Source organism: Homo sapiens, chromosome 19 (genome assembly GCF_000001405.40).
Source record: "Homo sapiens chromosome 19, GRCh38.p14 Primary Assembly".
NCBI classification, from domain to species: Eukaryota; Metazoa; Chordata; class Mammalia; order Primates; family Hominidae; genus Homo; species Homo sapiens.
Window position 1 is genome coordinate 49012037 of NC_000019.10, and position 16086 is coordinate 49028122.

General features: G+C 57.6%; 4 protein-coding genes, 1 long non-coding RNA gene and 1 pseudogene across 10 annotated transcripts in view, besides 5 other annotated features; 2 read left to right on the forward strand and 4 right to left on the reverse strand.

Moving 5' to 3' along the window:
• Nucleotides 1-3959, forward strand: part of RUVBL2 (RuvB like AAA ATPase 2) — a 22548-nt gene extending 18589 nt beyond the window's left edge. For 3 of the 4 annotated variants that reach the window (NR_135578.2, NM_001321190.2, NM_006666.3), the window contains exons 12-15: nt 2448-2567; nt 2985-3114; nt 3536-3650; nt 3781-3934. Coding sequence is in view for 3 of the 4 variants with exons in the window: in NM_001321190.2 (NP_001308119.1) it covers nt 2448-2567; nt 2985-3114; nt 3536-3650; nt 3781-3806 (391 nt within the window). In the remaining variant the exon portion in view is untranslated. Of the gene's footprint in view, nt 1-2447; nt 2568-2984; nt 3115-3535; nt 3651-3780 lie in introns of all 4 variants that reach the window. The other variant, NM_001321191.1, reaches the window with a different exon arrangement.
• Nucleotides 3944-7462, reverse strand: LHB (luteinizing hormone subunit beta). Of its 2 annotated transcripts, NM_000894.3 has the most exons (3): nt 5031-5055; nt 4511-4678; nt 3944-4274 (listed from the first exon to the last, which is right to left on the reverse strand). In NM_000894.3, the coding sequence occupies exons 1-3, from the start codon at nt 5043-5045 to the stop codon at nt 4032-4034; spliced, it is 426 nt and encodes a 141-aa protein (NP_000885.1). In that variant the 5' UTR covers nt 5046-5055; the 3' UTR covers nt 3944-4031. The 2 variants fall into 2 exon arrangements, with proteins under 2 accessions (NP_000885.1, XP_047294788.1); XM_047438832.1 differs by having other exon boundaries at nt 4511-7462.
• Nucleotides 5776-6070: an enhancer, noted in NCBI's record as "tiled region #164; K562 Activating DNase unmatched - State 4:PromP". NCBI's record gives its function as "activates a minimal TATA promoter and a strong SV40 promoter by Sharpr-MPRA in K562 cells {active_cell/tissue: K562}" and the evidence as "EXISTENCE:reporter gene assay evidence [ECO:0000049][PMID:27701403]".
• Nucleotides 5776-6803: a biological region, named in NCBI's record as "Sharpr-MPRA regulatory region 164".
• Nucleotides 5880-6803: an enhancer, noted in NCBI's record as "H3K27ac-H3K4me1 hESC enhancer chr19:49521173-49522096 (GRCh37/hg19 assembly coordinates)". NCBI's record gives its function as "activates a minimal SCP1, AML or CMV promoter by ChIP-STARR-seq in naive H9 embryonic stem cells {active_cell/tissue: H9 hESC(naive)}" and the evidence as "EXISTENCE:reporter gene assay evidence [ECO:0000049][PMID:30033119]".
• SAXO3 (stabilizer of axonemal microtubules 3) lies at nt 5932-8513 on the reverse strand. 2 transcript variants are annotated; one of them, NM_001396011.1, is made up of 5 exons: nt 8339-8513; nt 7873-8073; nt 7611-7772; nt 6837-6964; nt 5932-6304 (listed from the first exon to the last, which is right to left on the reverse strand). In NM_001396011.1, the coding sequence occupies exons 1-5, from the start codon at nt 8477-8479 to the stop codon at nt 5932-5934; spliced, it is 1005 nt and encodes a 334-aa protein (NP_001382940.1). In that variant the 5' UTR covers nt 8480-8513. The 2 variants fall into 2 exon arrangements, 1 of the variants encoding a protein (NP_001382940.1); NR_173107.1 differs by lacking the exons at nt 7611-7772; nt 7873-8073; nt 8339-8513 and adding an exon at nt 7178-7462.
• Nucleotides 6047-6236: a silencer, noted in NCBI's record as "silent region_10911". NCBI's record gives its function as "represses an Ori minimal core promoter by ATAC-STARR-seq in GM12878 lymphoblastoid cells {active_cell/tissue: GM12878}" and the evidence as "EXISTENCE:reporter gene assay evidence [ECO:0000049][PMID:35858748]".
• Nucleotides 8057-10779, forward strand: LOC124904738 (uncharacterized). The gene is made up of 2 exons (XR_007067288.1): nt 8057-8638; nt 8861-10779. It is a non-coding gene; the product is annotated as an uncharacterized LOC124904738 (long non-coding RNA).
• Nucleotides 9090-9239: an enhancer, noted in NCBI's record as "active region_14924". NCBI's record gives its function as "activates an Ori minimal core promoter by ATAC-STARR-seq in GM12878 lymphoblastoid cells {active_cell/tissue: GM12878}" and the evidence as "EXISTENCE:reporter gene assay evidence [ECO:0000049][PMID:35858748]".
• A 53-nt stretch (nt 10780-10832) lies between the features above and the next one.
• Nucleotides 10833-12297, reverse strand: CGB3 (chorionic gonadotropin subunit beta 3). The gene is made up of 3 exons (NM_000737.5): nt 11921-12297; nt 11400-11567; nt 10833-11164 (listed from the first exon to the last, which is right to left on the reverse strand). Exons 1-3 carry the CDS (start codon nt 11933-11935, stop codon nt 10850-10852), a joined length of 498 nt encoding a protein of 165 aa, NP_000728.1. The 5' UTR covers nt 11936-12297; the 3' UTR covers nt 10833-10849.
• Nucleotides 13160-14074, reverse strand: NTF6A (neurotrophin 6 alpha (pseudogene); annotated as a pseudogene).

Genomic DNA, 16086 nt, shown 5'->3' on the forward strand with positions numbered 1-16086 from the left:
GGGCAGGCAGCCCCCATAGGCTGTGATCCACAGGCTGCACCCCAACCTTGCACCCCCATTCCATTGCCCGGCACTGCTTGGGCTCAGTGCTGTACCTGGTGGCAAAGAAGGCTGGGTACTGTCAGCTCCAGCCCTGCAGCCTTGGGCCCAGCTGAAACTGGGCGGTTGGGATGGGCATCACAAAAGGGAAGAAGCGGGCACCCTACAGAGGATGCTGGGCCGCTGGGCCTGGCTCTGTGTTTGGCTCTTTTAACTCCTTGGATCCGCAGAAGAAGCTCAGAAGGTAGATATCACCTCAGCCCCATTTTATAGGGCAGGACAGTGAGGCCCAGTGACTTGCCCAGGTCACAAGTCTAGAAGGTAGCAGGGCCGTAATTTGGTCTCTGGATGGCTGGACACTGGAAGAGACCCCCAGGGCTGATGGTGTTTTCACAGAAACTGCAGGTCAGGGCCTGGGGACTGCCCAGGGGCACCTCCTGTGGGAGGCAGCAGCTACGGGCAGCCCTGATTGTTCGTAGACTCTGTATCTGAGAATCTCGCTTGCTAAGATTTATTTGTAATCCCCAAATAAATATCTGCCCTGCTTTCGGCAACAAATTCAAGTCACCTGACACCCACTTTCCCAGCTGAGTGTGAACGAGGCAACACTGCCTGCTCCCTTAGCGCTCATGCTGTAAATAAGTGTCCTTGTTGTATTCTATTTAGTGCTACGTTTGTCACTTTTGTTCTTTGAGACAGGGTCTTGCTCTGTCGCCCAGGCTGGAGTGCAGAGGCACGATCATGGCACACTGCAGCCTCAGTGCCCACCACACACACACACACACACACACACACACACACACACACACCACCCCTGGGACTCAATCAGTCCTCTGGCCTCAGCCTCCTCATCAGCTGGGACCACGGGCATGCACCACTATGCCTAGCTAATTTCTGTTTTTGTTTTGAGACGGAGTCTAGCTCTGTCACCAGGCTGGAGTGCAGTGGCACGATCTCGGCTCACTGCAACCTCTGCCTTCTGGGTTCAAGCAGTTTTCCTGCCTCAGCCTCCTGAGTAGCTGGGATTATGGGCACCCGCCACCATGCCCAGCTAATTTTGGTATTTTTAGTAGAGACAGGGTTTCACCATATTGGCCAGGCTGGTCTCGAACTCCTGACCTCGTGATCTGCCCACCTCAGCCTCCCAAAGTGTTGAGATTACAGGGGTGAGTCACCGCGTCCGGCCTAATTTTTTTTTTTTTTTTGTAGAGATGGTGTTTTGCCATGTTGCCCAGGCTGGTCTCAAACTCCTGGGCTCAAGCAATCCACCCGCCTCAGCCTCCCAAAGTGTTGTCACTTTTTTTGTGCCTTTTTTTTTTAAACTTTTTGGGGCCATTTGTTGGTGATATTGCCATTTAAAGTGTCCCCTGTGCACAGTGTTGAAGTGCTGTCTAGTATCCTAAGTGCAAGGAGGCTGTGAAGCCTGACGGAGAAAATGCCATGTTACAGACGCTTCGCTGAGCCCAAGTTAGAATGCTGTTGACACGAGCTCCATGTTAGAGAATAAACAGTGATGTTACATAACAAACACATGGAAATAGAAACACACATACATGAGGCCAGGCGCGGTAGCTCACACCTGTAATCCCAGCACTTTGGGAGGCCGAGGTGGGTGGATCACGAGGTCAAGAGAATGAGACCGTCCCGGCCAACATGGTGAAACCCTGTCTGTATTAAAAATAGAAAAAACTAGCTGGGCGTGATGGCGTGCGCCTGTAGACCCAGCTACTTGGGAGGCTGAGGCAGGAGGATCGGTTGAACCCGGGAGGCGGAGGTTGCAGTGAGCCGAGATCGCGCCACTGCACTCCAGCCTCGCAACAGAGCGAGACTCCGTCTCAAAAAACAAACCAAAAAGACCAGAAACACACAAATGAAAATACGCATAGACCCAGATTATATATATATGGATTGATGAAAATACTGTAAGCCGAGGCTCGAGAGAGCCTAACCCTGTATTCCAGTAGGAGCAGTGGCTCAGGATCAGCTAATTGGAGTGTTCACGATGACTTTCTAGAACCTCACTACTGTGAATAAGGGGAACTGACTGTATCCCCTGGCACCAGCCCTGGGCTGGCCCCGCTGCAGCAGGGAACAAGACAGGTGCAGTCCCCTCCTTTGTGAAGCTTTGTGTCGAGCACGGGAGTGGGACCTTGATCCAGTAATCCTGGAGGCAGAGATCTAGCTTAAAGCAGCCCAGCTCCGCGGAAAGGTGCCCTTGGGGGACTGACGCAGCTGTGGAAGGCTGCGTCATCAGGGGTGATGTCATCATGTGACAGGAGACGCGAGCTAAAGGTTAAGTGGTGTTGGGCCCAGTGAGTGGGTGGCGATGGGAGGTGAGAGTGTTCCCAGCAAAGGGAATGAAGAGGGAACATGCCCCTGACAGCCCCCTCTTTCTGCCTCTTCCTCAGAATCCGGGGCACCAGCTACCAGAGCCCTCACGGCATCCCCATAGACCTGCTGGACCGGCTGCTTATCGTCTCCACCACCCCCTACAGCGAGAAAGACACGAAGCAGATCCTCCGCATCCGGTGCGGGCAGGACCAGGCCGTGCGCCTGAGACGCAGGGCTGGGGTCTACCCTGTTTGACAAATGCTGACACTGAGGTCCAGCGGAGTGGCATGGTGGCTGGGCCTACAGGAGAGAGGGCTGAGCGGGCACCCAGACGGTGGCCTCCGATCCGGGAGCAGGAGCCACGGTGGGAAAGGGAGGCGAGGTACCCGTGACTGGTGTTGGGGCCAGCGCCCTGGGGGTGGTCAGGAGGCCTCGGTTTTAGGTCCAGCCCAGCCCCTGTCTCCGTGGCTCTTCTAGCCTCAGCATTCTATGGTTCTAAGATGCAGGCGCCACATATTCCCAGTGGGGAAGGGCCAGAGGGTTGCTGTGGCCACTTCTGCTGCAGTCAGAGGCTGGGCCCCGGCTGAGCCACCCCTGTCCCCCACTGCTTGCAGGTGCGAGGAAGAAGATGTGGAGATGAGTGAGGACGCCTACACGGTGCTGACCCGCATCGGGCTGGAGACGTCACTGCGCTACGCCATCCAGCTCATCACAGCTGCCAGCTTGGTGTGCCGGAAACGCAAGGTCAGCCGGCCGAATTAGCCAGCAGGGCCAGATGGCGGCAGTGAGTGACACAGTACTTCAGGGGCTTCCAGGGTTCCGATTTCATCCTAGAATGTACGTTTTCAGACGCAGGGAATTTTCATCCCTCAGGTTGGCTTCTGTATCATCCAGCCTGGCCTATAGTAGGTATCAGTAAATCTCTCTTGACTTAAGTAGATGCTGTTAGGTCCACCTTACAGATAAAGAAACTGAGGAATGAAGAGGCTGGGCCCACAACAAGGAGATGGCCAGGCAGGATTTGAACCCAGGCAATCTGGCCCAGAATGCCCTCCCCTCACATGCCACACTCTGCTGCCTAGAGCATGGAGGTGGCATACGCTGGGGTCTGTGCCTTGAGCCTCACGGAGAGGGGCCCAACTGAGGACTCGCCCTCCCCCTCCAGGGTACAGAAGTGCAGGTGGATGACATCAAGCGGGTCTACTCACTCTTCCTGGACGAGTCCCGCTCCACGCAGTACATGAAGGAGTACCAGGACGCCTTCCTCTTCAACGAACTCAGTAAGAATCCCCACCCCGCACCTGCACTGCCAGAGCCAACCTCAGAGGGAGGAAGAGGGAGCTCGGCGTAGAAGGCTCAGGCCCTGCCACCTGGGCGACACTGACCATGTGGCCTTCCTTCTCCCCACAGAAGGCGAGACCATGGACACCTCCTGAGTTGGATGTCATCCCCCGACCCCACCCTGTTTTCCACCAGAGTTCTGACACTGTGACTCTGTATAAAATGGTTGGGAAGCTGCACCCACCCTGTGTATGTGTGGTTGCCCTGAGCCCACAGAAAGACACCTCCAGAGTGCGGATTGAGAAGCCTTTATTGTGGGAGGATCGGGGTGTCAGGGCTCCAGGAGTCGGGATGGACTTGGAAGGCTGCGGGGAGGGTCTTTAGAGGAAGAGGAGGCCTGAGAGTTGGGGGTGGTCACAGGTCAAGGGGTGGTCTTTGGGACCCCCACAGTCAGAGGTGCTGCGGCGGCAGGGTCCACAGCGACAGCTGAGAGCCACAGGGAAGGAGACCACGGGGTCCACACCACGCGGGCAGCCAGGGAGCCGGATGGACTCGAAGCGCACATCACGGTAGGTGCACACCACCTGAGGCAGGGGCGGCAGGACCGCCTGCAGCACGCGCATCTGGAGGCCGTGTGAGTGGGGGAATGAGCATGTGCCTGAGGCCAGCGCCTCAGCTGAGCTCCCAAGCTGACCCCACAGGTCCTGGACTCAGGAGCCCAGGAAGCCCTCTGTTCCTGCCTTCCCACACCCCATTCCCCAACCGCAGGCCAGAGAGGCAGACCACCCTTCCTCCCCCGCTGCCTCTGTGGGTCTGGCCCTGAGGTGGCAGCATCTGCCCCTGGCCCCAGGCAGCTCACCATGGTGGGGCAGTAGCCGGCACAGATGGTGGTGTTGACGGTGATGCACACTGGGCAGCCCTCCTTCTCGACAGCCAGGATGGCATTGATGGGGTGGCACCATGGCCGAAGCGGCTCCCTGGATGCCCATGCCCCGCCCATGCTCAGCAGCAGCAACAGCAGCAGCCCCTGGGACAAGGACACTGCTTCACCCAGGTCTGAGACCGCAGCCCCGAGTCCTGGCCTTCCCATCCCGCGTGGTACACCACCCACAAAGACCCAGAGACCCTTCCCGGCATCTCCTATTCAGGACCCACCACCCGGACACCTGCCTTTCAGAGCCCACCCCACAGCCCAGAGGACCTGAGATGCCCCAACATTTCAGATCCCCACCCTCAGGAACTGCCCCACCTGAAGCTTACTGGGGGTCATGCCCCTCCAGAAAGAGGCCTCCTTCCACAGCTCACACGGGTCTGCCCCTTCTCATGCCAGTGATGGCCTGGAAGGAGGTGGAAGGTGCCCAGGGGCCCTGTAGTCTTACCTGGAGCATCTCCATCCTTGGTGCATCCCCTGCCTCGTGTATCTGGCTATATACCTCGGGGTTGTGGGGGCGGCAAGGCCACCAGGAGGTGATAGGATGCTGGGGTAACCTGGACACTAATCCCCCCGGGGGCGAGAGGTGCACATGGCCAGGGAGGCGCAGGAGTGGCTCAGCAGAGCGCCCCAGCCCTCTCCCCTCAGTGGTCTAGCGCCAGAGGTGAGGCAGAGACCACGGTGAAGTGACCTCAGAGACCCAGTTGTCGAGTGCTAGGGACTAGTCGAGCCTGGAGGCACAGGGAGTAGGGTGTAGGAAGGCCTGCCTCTGCCAATTGTGGGGTCTTGGGAGCCAGGAGGAGGCCATGACCCGAGAAAGGTGCTGGACTGAAGCCTCAACCCTCCACTTGAGGCTTTCCTGCACCACAGTCCAACCTAACAGGAGGGGCGCTGCTTCGGACTTAGCTTCTGCCCAGTGAGAGAGGGTCTCCCCGTGACTGTGCTGCCAGGGAAGCCACTTGACCCAGATGCCCCCAAGGAGGGATTAAGCCCGAGCCCCACCTCTCCCTTAGGGACCTCCGCCCACCCTACCCTCAAGCCAGGATGCCCGGAGCGTCCCCGGAAGTGGGTGTGGTTCAGGTGATTTAACTCATTATTTAATACGCCCGCAGGGTGCGTGTCTTGCCCCCGGGGCCACAGCCTGCAAGGACATTATCTGGACTTAGTCCCCTCTCCGTGATGCCGCAGCTGAGTGGGTGTCTGGGCTAGTCCCGCCCCCACGTTGCCAATAGACGTAATGAGTGCGACTCAGGCTGGGTCCGGAACCCTTCCTAGTGAGCGGAGGTCCCGAGCTCCGCTCGGCAGCGCGGCCCTGGGGGCGGGTCTGGGGTGGGGCTGGCCCTGACGGCTCACACCAGCGCCGGCTTCAAGCTGCCATAGCTGGAGTTCTCGGTACTGTAGGCTTTCGGCACGCTGTAGATGCCCCGCAGGGGCTTCCAGTGCGGGCCGCCCCAGGGCGCCTCCAGCGGGCAGAAGCGGTCGAGCCGCCGGAGCGGGTGCAGCAGGGGGCTGTAGGACTCCTGAGCCAGAGACAGGGCTCCCCGGTGCGGCATGGCCGAGGTCACCGGGCTGACGCGCGGCACGCGGACCCGCGGTGGTCGGGGCGGCCGGGAGGAGCGCGGACAGGGCGGCCGCTGCGGGCCGTGGCTCCAGACCTGGGGCGTCTCTTCGAAGCTCCAGTAGGTCAGGGAGTCCTTGCGGGGGTATCCGGACAGCTCCGTCCTGTGGGAGCAGGGCGGGATGGTGAGGATACAGCTGGATCCTTGGGGACGAGTTTCAGACCTCGGGATCTAAGGAGTCTGCACATTCAAACTCCTGCATTTCCAGGCGAGCACCCCTTAGGAAGGACGCGACCCGGCACGCGTTGCCTGCGTTCCTGGGTCCTCGAGGTACTTAACGTCCTGGAAACTGAGCTTTCGCATCCTAGGGAAGTAAAAGGGGACTTTCGCTTCCTTGGGAAGGAGTATCTGGGGGCTCAAGTACCGAAGGAGGCCCTGCCCTCAGATCCGGAATCCCCTCGAGCCGCTGTGCAGGCTTCCTGTCCCTACCGCGGTTCCTGAGAGGTGACACTAAGGACTCCTGGGTGCTTAAAAAAAAAAGGGAGGGGCTGAGGCCTGAACTTTGGTTCTTGCTGCTACAGAAGTCGAGGCTGAGACCACCGGCTCAGGGAATGGGAGCCAGCCCAGGGGCTCGGCGTGCACCGGCCACGGCGGGGGCTGTGCAGGAGGCGGTGCCGAGCGAGAGCCCGGCTTACTTGGGATAGAACCGAAAGTCCCGCGCCGAGGTGGTCAGATAGAGCTGGCGGCGGTCCAGGACGCCCCGGTCGGATACTGTGAAAGGCCGGCCAGACAGCTCGGGGTTCTTCGTCCAGGCAATTAGAGCCTGAGCAAGATTGGGGGAGGAGGCATACCCAAGACATAGATTTCATACCCCATCCCAAGCCCTGGGTCCCGAGTTCAGAATCCCTCTCCTTCGGCCTCGACAGCCATGACGGCCACGGCCCTCACACCCCGCCCCAGGGTTAGAGCCCTTCCTGCCACCCACGCCAGGGAACTTCAGCTTCCTTTCTCATACCCGAACCCTTCCCAGCCTCACCTCCCTAAATCCAAGCACCTTCTGCTGTTCAAGGAACTCAAACCCAAGCCCCCAGCCACCAAAAACAACCTCCCTGGTTCCGCTCTGTCTTAAACCGTCTTGGTGTGGCCACTGGAGCTGAGCTGCATCTTGGGCAGCAACTCCAAGTTACCTCTCCCAACTCCCACCTGACCCCGTCTCAGAATATTCTAGTCTCCTCCCCACCCACAGCCCGCCGTCTAGCTCCGCAGCAGCTTAGGAGCCCTGAAGGTGAGTTTGTAGTCCCTGGTCCTTCTGGCCTGGCCTAATGCCCAGCCCCTCCCCCGGCTCCTCTAACCTCGCGATCCCGCCCCAGACCCTTTAGCCACGCCCCAAAGCCGTGATTCCTTCTGGCCCCGCCCCAGGCTCCCGGAGCTCCGCCCCGTCTCGCCGGCGCCGGCTTCCACCCAGACACCTGGGAAGGACCCCCGCGGTGGTGGTCTGCGAGTTGTGGGGGCTGGGGCCCGAAGTATTCCGGGGCGCGCGGGTCCCCGCTGGGAGAGCCAGTGTACTGCGCCCTCGTCTCGCTGCTCTGGTACTTTGTGGTCAGTGGGAGGCGCCAGCCGCGGTGTCTGAGCTGCGGAAAGGCGACCCAGAGACTCACGTGAAGGAGCAGGGGACTCAAATGCAGTCCCCCGCCCTGTCCCCTGCGGACTCCGGCACTCCCCAAACTTTACCTTTTCTCCTAAATCCTTGATCCCCACAGTCCGCGTGGGGTCTGCAGGCTCTGGGGCTCTGGGCTGGGCGCAGGGCCCGCCATGGGTCTTGGGCACGTAGGCCGAGCCAGAGGTTGTCTCCCATCTGCTGAGGACCTCGTCGAAAGCCCAGTTGTGAGAATCCTGCTTTGCAACTTGGGGTAGAGGGTCCGCGACCGTGGACTGGAGAGAAGGCGCCGCACATCAGCTAGAAAGACTCAGGAGTCCCTATCACCCCCCACCCCAAACTCTGACCTCTTCCAGTCGGCCCCCAGCCCTTTCCTCTGCAGTCCCTGGCATTCAGCTTCCCTGGTGCCTCCTCTCTCAGACCCAGAACTCCAGGACCCTCCTCCTTCAGAGAGGAGTCCAAGCTCCCAATCCGCTTTATTTAGCCCCTATCTTTCTGGGTCTCCAGGCCCGGCAGGGCTGCAGCGTAGGGTCCGCTCACCTGCACCGTGGGCGGGGTGAAGGGTATGGGTGGGATAATGCGGTGGGAAAAGTAGCTGCTGGTGAGATGGCAGTTGGGCCTGGATCCAGGTACCTCGGTTGCAGAGATACGACAGCCCGGAGCCAGGGTGCCACTGGCCATGGTTCCACCCCCACTCCGTAGCCAAGCAGGAGCTGGCTTATTGTGGTTGTTGCCCCAGGTGACAGAACCCGCCCACCCAGAACCTAGTCAATCAAGGGCCTGCAGGCACCTGGATGGATGGAATGAGAAAGAGACCCAGAGACAGGGACCCCAAGAGGGGTACAAAGAAACACAAGGAGGGGGAATGGAGACTCAAAGATAGGAGGGTGGAAAGGGAAGGAGAAGTTCAGTATTTCAGAGACCCAGGGGGTGGGGGAGAGAGAAACCCAAAAAGAGGGACAGGGACCTGGAGGTGTCAGAGATCCAGACAGAGAGACAGAGACCCCTGCGCTGCACCTAGCAACTCAGGACATCCATGAGAAACACCCCCCTTTCTTCCAGGGCCCAGATGCTCCTGGCTGCTTCCTCCCTCTACCAGGCCTGCCCACCTCAGGGTAACGATTTCCAGACATCCCCGGGGCTCCCCGACCCTCCCTGCATGCACGTGCTGAAGTAATCAGCACTAGCATTGGCTGTCCTGCCTGCCTTTGATTGGCTTGAAAAGTTCCACCTGGGTAGGCGGGGTGTGGAAACAGGGAGGCACCCACAGAGAAGTGCACCGGACCATAGCGAAAAACATGGGCTTTGATGAGTGAGAAAGAAATACAAGAGAGGAGAGAGACAGGGAGGAAGACACAGACCACGCTGGAAACGGAGCTATTAGTACTCACCCAGAGGCTAGAGCCACCGGAAGTTAGAGACAGAGAGAAAGGCGGCAAAAAAGAGCAAAATCAGAGATGGTAACAAGGAGATGTAGAAACGGAGGCAGCCACACCCCTCCCTGCCGAGGGGCCTGGTCTGTACAGATTGGTGGAGGGGGTGCCTATGTCCTTTGCTCAAAGCTGGACCTGAGAGAGAGAGAGGGGGAGAGAAAGTGAGAGAGAGAGAGTGTGTGTGTGTGTCTGTGTCTGTGTGTTGGCAACACATGTGGGGAGATGGGTAATAGGTAAAGGGCTATTGTGAAGTCCTGTGGTCTGTCCCAGACAGAGAGAAAGAGAGAGAGAGAGAGAGAGACAGAGTGTGTGTGTGTGTGTGTGTCTGTCTGTGTGTTGGCAACACATGTGGGGAGATGGGTAATAGGTGAAGGGCTATTGTGAAGTCCTGTGGACCAGAGAGAGAGAGAGAGAGTGAGTGTGTGTGTGTCTGTATGTCTGTGTGTTGGCAACACATGTAGGGAGATGGGTAATAGGGGTCATAGGTGAAGGGCTACTGTGAACTCCTGTGGTCTGTCCCTGGCTTCCCTTGTCATTTCTTCACCATATAGAGCTTTTGGTCACCGGGCACGATGACTCACTCCTGTAATCCCAGCACTTTGAGAGGCAGAGGCGGGCAGATAACTTGAGGTTAGGAGTTTGAAACCAGCCTGGCCAACATGGCAAAACCCTGTCTCTATCGAAAAATATAAAAAGTAGCCAGGCATGGTGGCGCACACCTGTAATCCCAACTAAGGCAGGAGAATCACTTGAACTCAGGAGGTGAAGGTGGCAGTGAGCTGAGATCATGCCACTGCACTCCAGCCTAGGGGACAGAGCAAGACTCCATCTCAAAAAAAAAAAAAAAAATAGCTTTTGGTCTAGGCCTCTGCCTCCTCAACCCTCATTATCTCATCCCACGAGCCCATTCTTCAGACAAGGAAACCTGAGGCTGCCTTCTGCAGCCAGGCCCACAATCCCACTTACTGTTCCTCCCTGAATCATGCTTCTGGGGCCCTTCTGTTGGATTTTGCTGACCCTACTCAAGGGCTCTCAATGACGAATAACCCCCTGATCCTAGCCAGGGGGACGGCGAGTTAGTCAGAACCTCATGTCCCACTCAAACTGGACAATTTTTTTTTTTTTTTGAGACGGACTTTCCCTCTTTTTGCCCAGGCTGGAGTGCAATGGCACAGTCTCCGCTCACTGCAACCTCCGCCTCCCGGGTTCAAGCGATTCTCCTGCCTCACCCTCCAGAGTAGCTGGGATTACAGGCACCCGCCTACACGCCCAGCTAATTTCTTTATGTAATTTTAGTAGAGACGGGGTTTCACCATGTTAACCAGGCTGGTCTTGAACTCCTAACCTCAGGTGATTCGCCTGTCTTGGCCTCTCAAAGTGCTGGGATTACAGGCATCAGCCATCGCACCTGGCCATCAAGCTGGAAAATTTTAAGGTCTGTTTCTTTCCCAATGTAGAGTAAAGTTGCGATGTCATCCCCCGACCCCACACTGTTTTCTACCAGAGTTCTCATACTGTGACTCTGTATAAAATGGTTTGGAAGCTGGACCCATCCTGTGTGTGTGTGGTTGCCCTGAGCCCACAGAAAGACACCTCCAGAGTGCGGATTGAGAAGCCTTTATTGTGGGAGGATCGGGGTGTCCGAGGGCCCCGGGAGTCGGGATGGGCTTGGAAGGCTGGGGGGAGGGGCCTTTGAGGAAGAGGAGTCCTGGAAGCGGGGGTCATCACAGGTCAAGGGGTGGTCCTTGGGACCCCCGCAGTCAGTGGTGCTGCGGCGGCAGAGTGCACATTGACAGCTGAGAGCCACGGCGTAGGAGACCACGGGGTTCACGCCGCGCGGGCAGCCAGGGAGCCGGATGGACTCGAAGCGCACATCGCGGTAGTTGCACACCACCTGAGGCAGGGCCGGCAGGACCCCCTGCAGCACGCGGGTCTGGAAGCCGTGTGAGTGGGGGAATGAGCATGTGCCTGGGGCCAGCGCCTCAGCTGAGCTCCCCAGCTGCCCCCACAGGTCTCAGACTCAGGGGTCCAGGAAGCCCTCTGTTCCTGCCCTCCCACACCCCATTCCGCAGCCCCTGACCAGAGAGGCAGACCACCCTTCCTCCCCCGCTGCCTCTGTGGGTCTGGCCCTGAGGTGGCAGCACCTGCCCCGGCCCCGGGCAGCTCACCATGGTGGGGCAGTAGCCGGCACAGATGGTGGTGTTGACGGTGATGCACACGGGGCAGCCCTCCTTCTCCACAGCCAGGGTGGCATTGATGGGGCGGCACCGTGGCCGAAGCGGCTCCTTGGATGCCCATGTCCCGCCCATGCTCAGCAGCAGCAACAGCAGCAGCCCCTGGGACAAGGACACTGCTTCACCCGGGTCTGAGACCGCAGCCCCGAGTCCTGGCCTTCCCATCCCGCGTGGTACACCACCCACAAAGACCCAGAGACCCTTCCCGGCATCTCCTATTCAGGACCCACCACCCGGACACCTGCCTTTCAGAGCCCACCCCACAGCCCAGAGGACCTGAGATACCCCAACATTTCAGATCCGCACCTTCAGGAAATGCCCCACCTGAAGCTTACTGGGGGTCACGCTCCTCCAGAAAGAGGCCTCCTTCCACAGCTCACACTGGTCTGACCCCTTCTCATGCCAGTGATTGCCTGGAAGGAGGTGGAAGGTGCCCAGGGGCCCTGCAGTCTTACCTGGAACATCTCCATCCTTGGTGCGTCCCCTGCCTCGTGTACCTGGCTTTATACCTCGGGGTTGTGGGGGCGGCAAGGCCACCAGGAGGTGATAGGATGCTGGGGTGAGCTCGACACTAACCCCTCGGGGGGCAAGAGGTAGACAAGGCCAGGGGGGCGCAGGAGTGGCTCAGCGGAGCGCCCCAGCCCTCTCCTCTCACTGGTCCAGCGCCAAGGGTGAGGCGGAGACCACGGTGAAGTGACCTCAGAGACTCAGTCGTCGAGTGCTAGGGACTAGTCGAGGCTGGAGGCACAGGGAGTAGGGTGTAGGAAGGCCTGCCTCTGCCTATGGTGGGGTCCTGGGAGCCAGGAGGAGGCCGTGACCCGAGAAAGGTGCTGGACTGAAGCCTCAACCCTCCTCTACTTGAGGCTTTCCTGCACCACAGTCCAACCTCCCAGGAGGGGCGCGGCTTCGGACTTAGTTTCTGCCCAATGAGAGAGGGCCTCCCCGTGACTGTGCTGCCAGGGAAGCCACTTGACCCTGGTGCCGCCAACGAGGGATTCAGCCCGAGCCCCACCTCTCCCTTAGGGACCTCCGCCCACCCTACCCTCAAGCCAGGATGCCCGGAGCTGTCCCCGGAAATGCGTGTGCTTCAGGTGATTTAACTGATTATTGAATAGGCCCGCAGGAGGTGTGTCCTGCCCATGGGGCCGAAGCCTCGGAGGACATTATCTGGACTTAGTCCCTTCCCCGCGATGCCATCAAGCTGGACAATTTTAAGGTCTGTTTCTTTCCCAATGTAGGGTATAGGTTGGCACAGGGAAGAGGGCTAGAAACCTGACTTGAGCTCCCCGCCCAGGGCTGAACTCTCCAGCATCCTGATCACTTCTCATTGAACCTTGCTTATACTCCCCGTGTGATCGGTAGCTCTTTATCTCAAAACAGAATATTCTAAGCCAACCCCTGCCTGCTCTCACCAAGTAAGATTTCTCATTTGAACCCCAGCTCCCAGATACTTAAAGGCCTTCTGTAGACCATGTCCTCAAGGTCCCCTGGCCATCTGCTTGCATGTTCCAGTTTCCCTCCTCCCCCATGCACATCGTGAAATGTGCCCTCCCACTCCCCAGGATGAGCAAGGTGGTGTCCTCTGTGACTGAGCAGTCAGCAACTTAACACCAAAGGTCACCAATGATCAAATCCATGAGAGTTGATCCGAGGAGTTATGTATTAGGGCTACGAAAGAGTAAACACTCAGTAAATAGTGGCTATTATTATTATCATCATCATCATCATCATCATGATTACCCTCAAGTTCCCCTGGGAGAGCTCCTATTCAACCTTCAAAACCACATGTGGTGGCACCCATCCTGCAGAGATTGAGCTCAAATTCAGAGAGTTGTGATTTTGTGATGATTTGATGAGTTCCCCAACTGGGGTCCGTCCGTAGAGCAGCTGGGCCAACCCTGAGGTCTCTCAGCATCCAGCTCTGTTCTTTTTCTGCCTGACCAGTTCCTGGGTATAAGTCTCAGGCCCGGCCAGTCCGGCTGAGGAGTGTGCAGACACAGGCTGTGCCAGTTTGAATCCATCGCCAGTCCACACGGCCCTGGGCATCAGCGGTCAATGCCCGCACATAGGACTGCTTGGCCTTGCACTCAGACACCCAGTGCCCCCCGGTCCACACCCCGGCGGCAGCCCCCTCCACCTACCCCCGGGCCACCTTCCTCAGATTTATCGGCCTCGAAGTGGGCAACAAAGAAGTGCTGGCGGAGGGAACTGCCGACAGCTGCAGGCACCTCGCCCAACACCTCCACCTCGAGCACACCCAAGTCCACAGCAGTCCAGGGGTCTGTCACCCAGACACTGACTGCATCGCACACGGCCAGCTCACCCTGATGACTCGCCGGTGAAGTATCGCTCACCCCTCGCTGGCTGCGGTTGGCCCGGGCGCCTGCTGACTCCCGAAAGGCTCCAGTCTCCAGCAGGAAGACCAGAGGGGGCCCGGCAGCGGCACCCCTAGACAGGACCACTCGGGGGAAAAGAAGGTCCCACTCTGGAGGAGGAAAAGGCGACAATGTCGAGGATGGGGTTAGGACTCCATTGACACACTGGGGAGGAGGAAAATGAGGGGGATGCGGAGGGAGCCTGGGGGAGTGGGAGCATCTCTCAGAGCATCTCTCAGAGCACATGGAGACAGGGAAAAGGAGGCTGGGATTAGAGAAGAGGATAAACACTTCAGTGGGGTCAGAAGTTGGAAACCCCAGGGGAGGCCTGCCTGCCAGGATTATGGGGAAGCCCTTGCTCTAGAAGTTTGGGGGACTCCATATATAGGACTTGCATCACACCCAACTTGTAGATTAATAATAAATATTCAACAACTACAGGTCAGGCACTATGGCTCACACCTGTAATCCCAGCACTTTGGGAGGCTGAGGCGGGTGGATGACTTGAGGTCAGGAGTTCGAGAGCAGCCTGGCCAACACTGTGAAACAACATCTCTACTGATAATACCAAAATTAGCCAGGCCTGGTGCTGCACGCCTGTGGTCTCAGCTACTCAGGAGGCTGAGGCAGGAGAATCGCTTGAACCCGGGAGGCCGAGATTGCAGTGAGCCAAGATGGTGCCACTGCACTTCCGCCTGGACAACAGAGTGAGACTCTGTCTCACAAAAAAAATAAAAATAAAAATAAGGCCGGGCATGGTGGCTCACACTTGTAATGCCAGCATTGTCGGAGGCTGCAGTGGGTGGATCAGCTGAGGTGAGGAGTTCCAGACCAGCCTGACCAACATAGAGAAACCGCACCTCTACTAAAAATACAAAATATCCTCCAGCGTGGTGCTGCATGCTTATAATCCCAGCTACTTGGGAGGCTAAGGCAGGAGAATCACTTGATCCCAGGAGGCAGAGGTTGCAGTGAGCCAAGATCGCGCCATTGCACTTCAGCTTGGGCAACAAAAACAAAGCTCCATCTTAAAAAAATAATAATAATAATCATAAAATAAAGATAAAAATGTTCGGCCGGGTGCAGTGGTTCACGCCTGCAATCCCAGCGCTTTGGGAGGCCGAGGTGGGTGCATCACCTGAGGTCAAGACTTTGAGACCAGCCTGGCCAACATGGTGAATCCCTGTCTCTACTAAAAAAAAAACACAAAAATTAGCTGGGTATGGTGGTGCGCACCTGTACTCCCAGCTACTCAGGAGGCTGAGGCAGGAGAATCGCTTGGACCCATGAAGCAGAGGTGTAGTGAGCCGAGAGCGCGCCACTGCACTCCAGCCTAGGTGACAGGGCCAGACTCCGTCTCAAAAAAAATAAAAATAAAAATAAAATAAAAATAAAAGTAGAAAATATTCAACTACTATTACTCAATAGCAACAGATGGTAAAATACAGGCTCAGAGAAATTAATGATTTGTGCCTGGTCACACAGCCAACAAATGGCAGAGATGGGACTTCACCTCTGGGCAACTGCACTCTGCTATCCTTCCTGTAGAACTCTGAGGAACCGAGGGTCTTGCACCCTGGAGGATGTTCCAATCAATTTTTTTTTGAGGGGGTGTCTCACTTGTCGCCCAGGCTGGACTGCAGTGGCGCGATCTCGGCTAACTGCAGGTCCACCTCCCGGGTTTACACCACTCTCCTGCCTCAGCCTCCCGAGTAGCTGGGACTACAGGCACCCACCACTATGCCTGGCTAATTTGTTGTATTTTTTAGTAGAGACGGGGTTTCCCCGTGTTAGCCAGGATGGTCTTGATCTCCTGACCTTGTGATCTGCCTGCCTCGGCCTCCCAAAGTGCTGGGATTACAGGCATGAGCCACTGCACCCGGCCCAATTTTTTTTTTTTTTTTTTTGAGACAGAGCCTCACTCTGTCTGGCCAGGCTGGAGTACAGTGGCACAATCCTGGCTCACTGTAGCGCCTGCCTCCTGGGTTCAAGTGACTCTCCTGCCTCAGCCTTCTGAGTAACTGGAATTACAAGCGCCTGCCACCGTGCCCTGCTAATTTTTGTATTTTTAGTAGAGATGCAGTTTCACAACATTGGCCAGACTGGTCTCAAACTCCCAACCTCCAGTGATACTCCTGCCCTGGCCTCCCAGAGTGCTGGGATTATAGGCCTGAGAAACCACGCCTGGCCCCAAACAAATTGCTTTAAGACGAGGTCTCCCTATGTTTCCCCACTGCACTTGAACT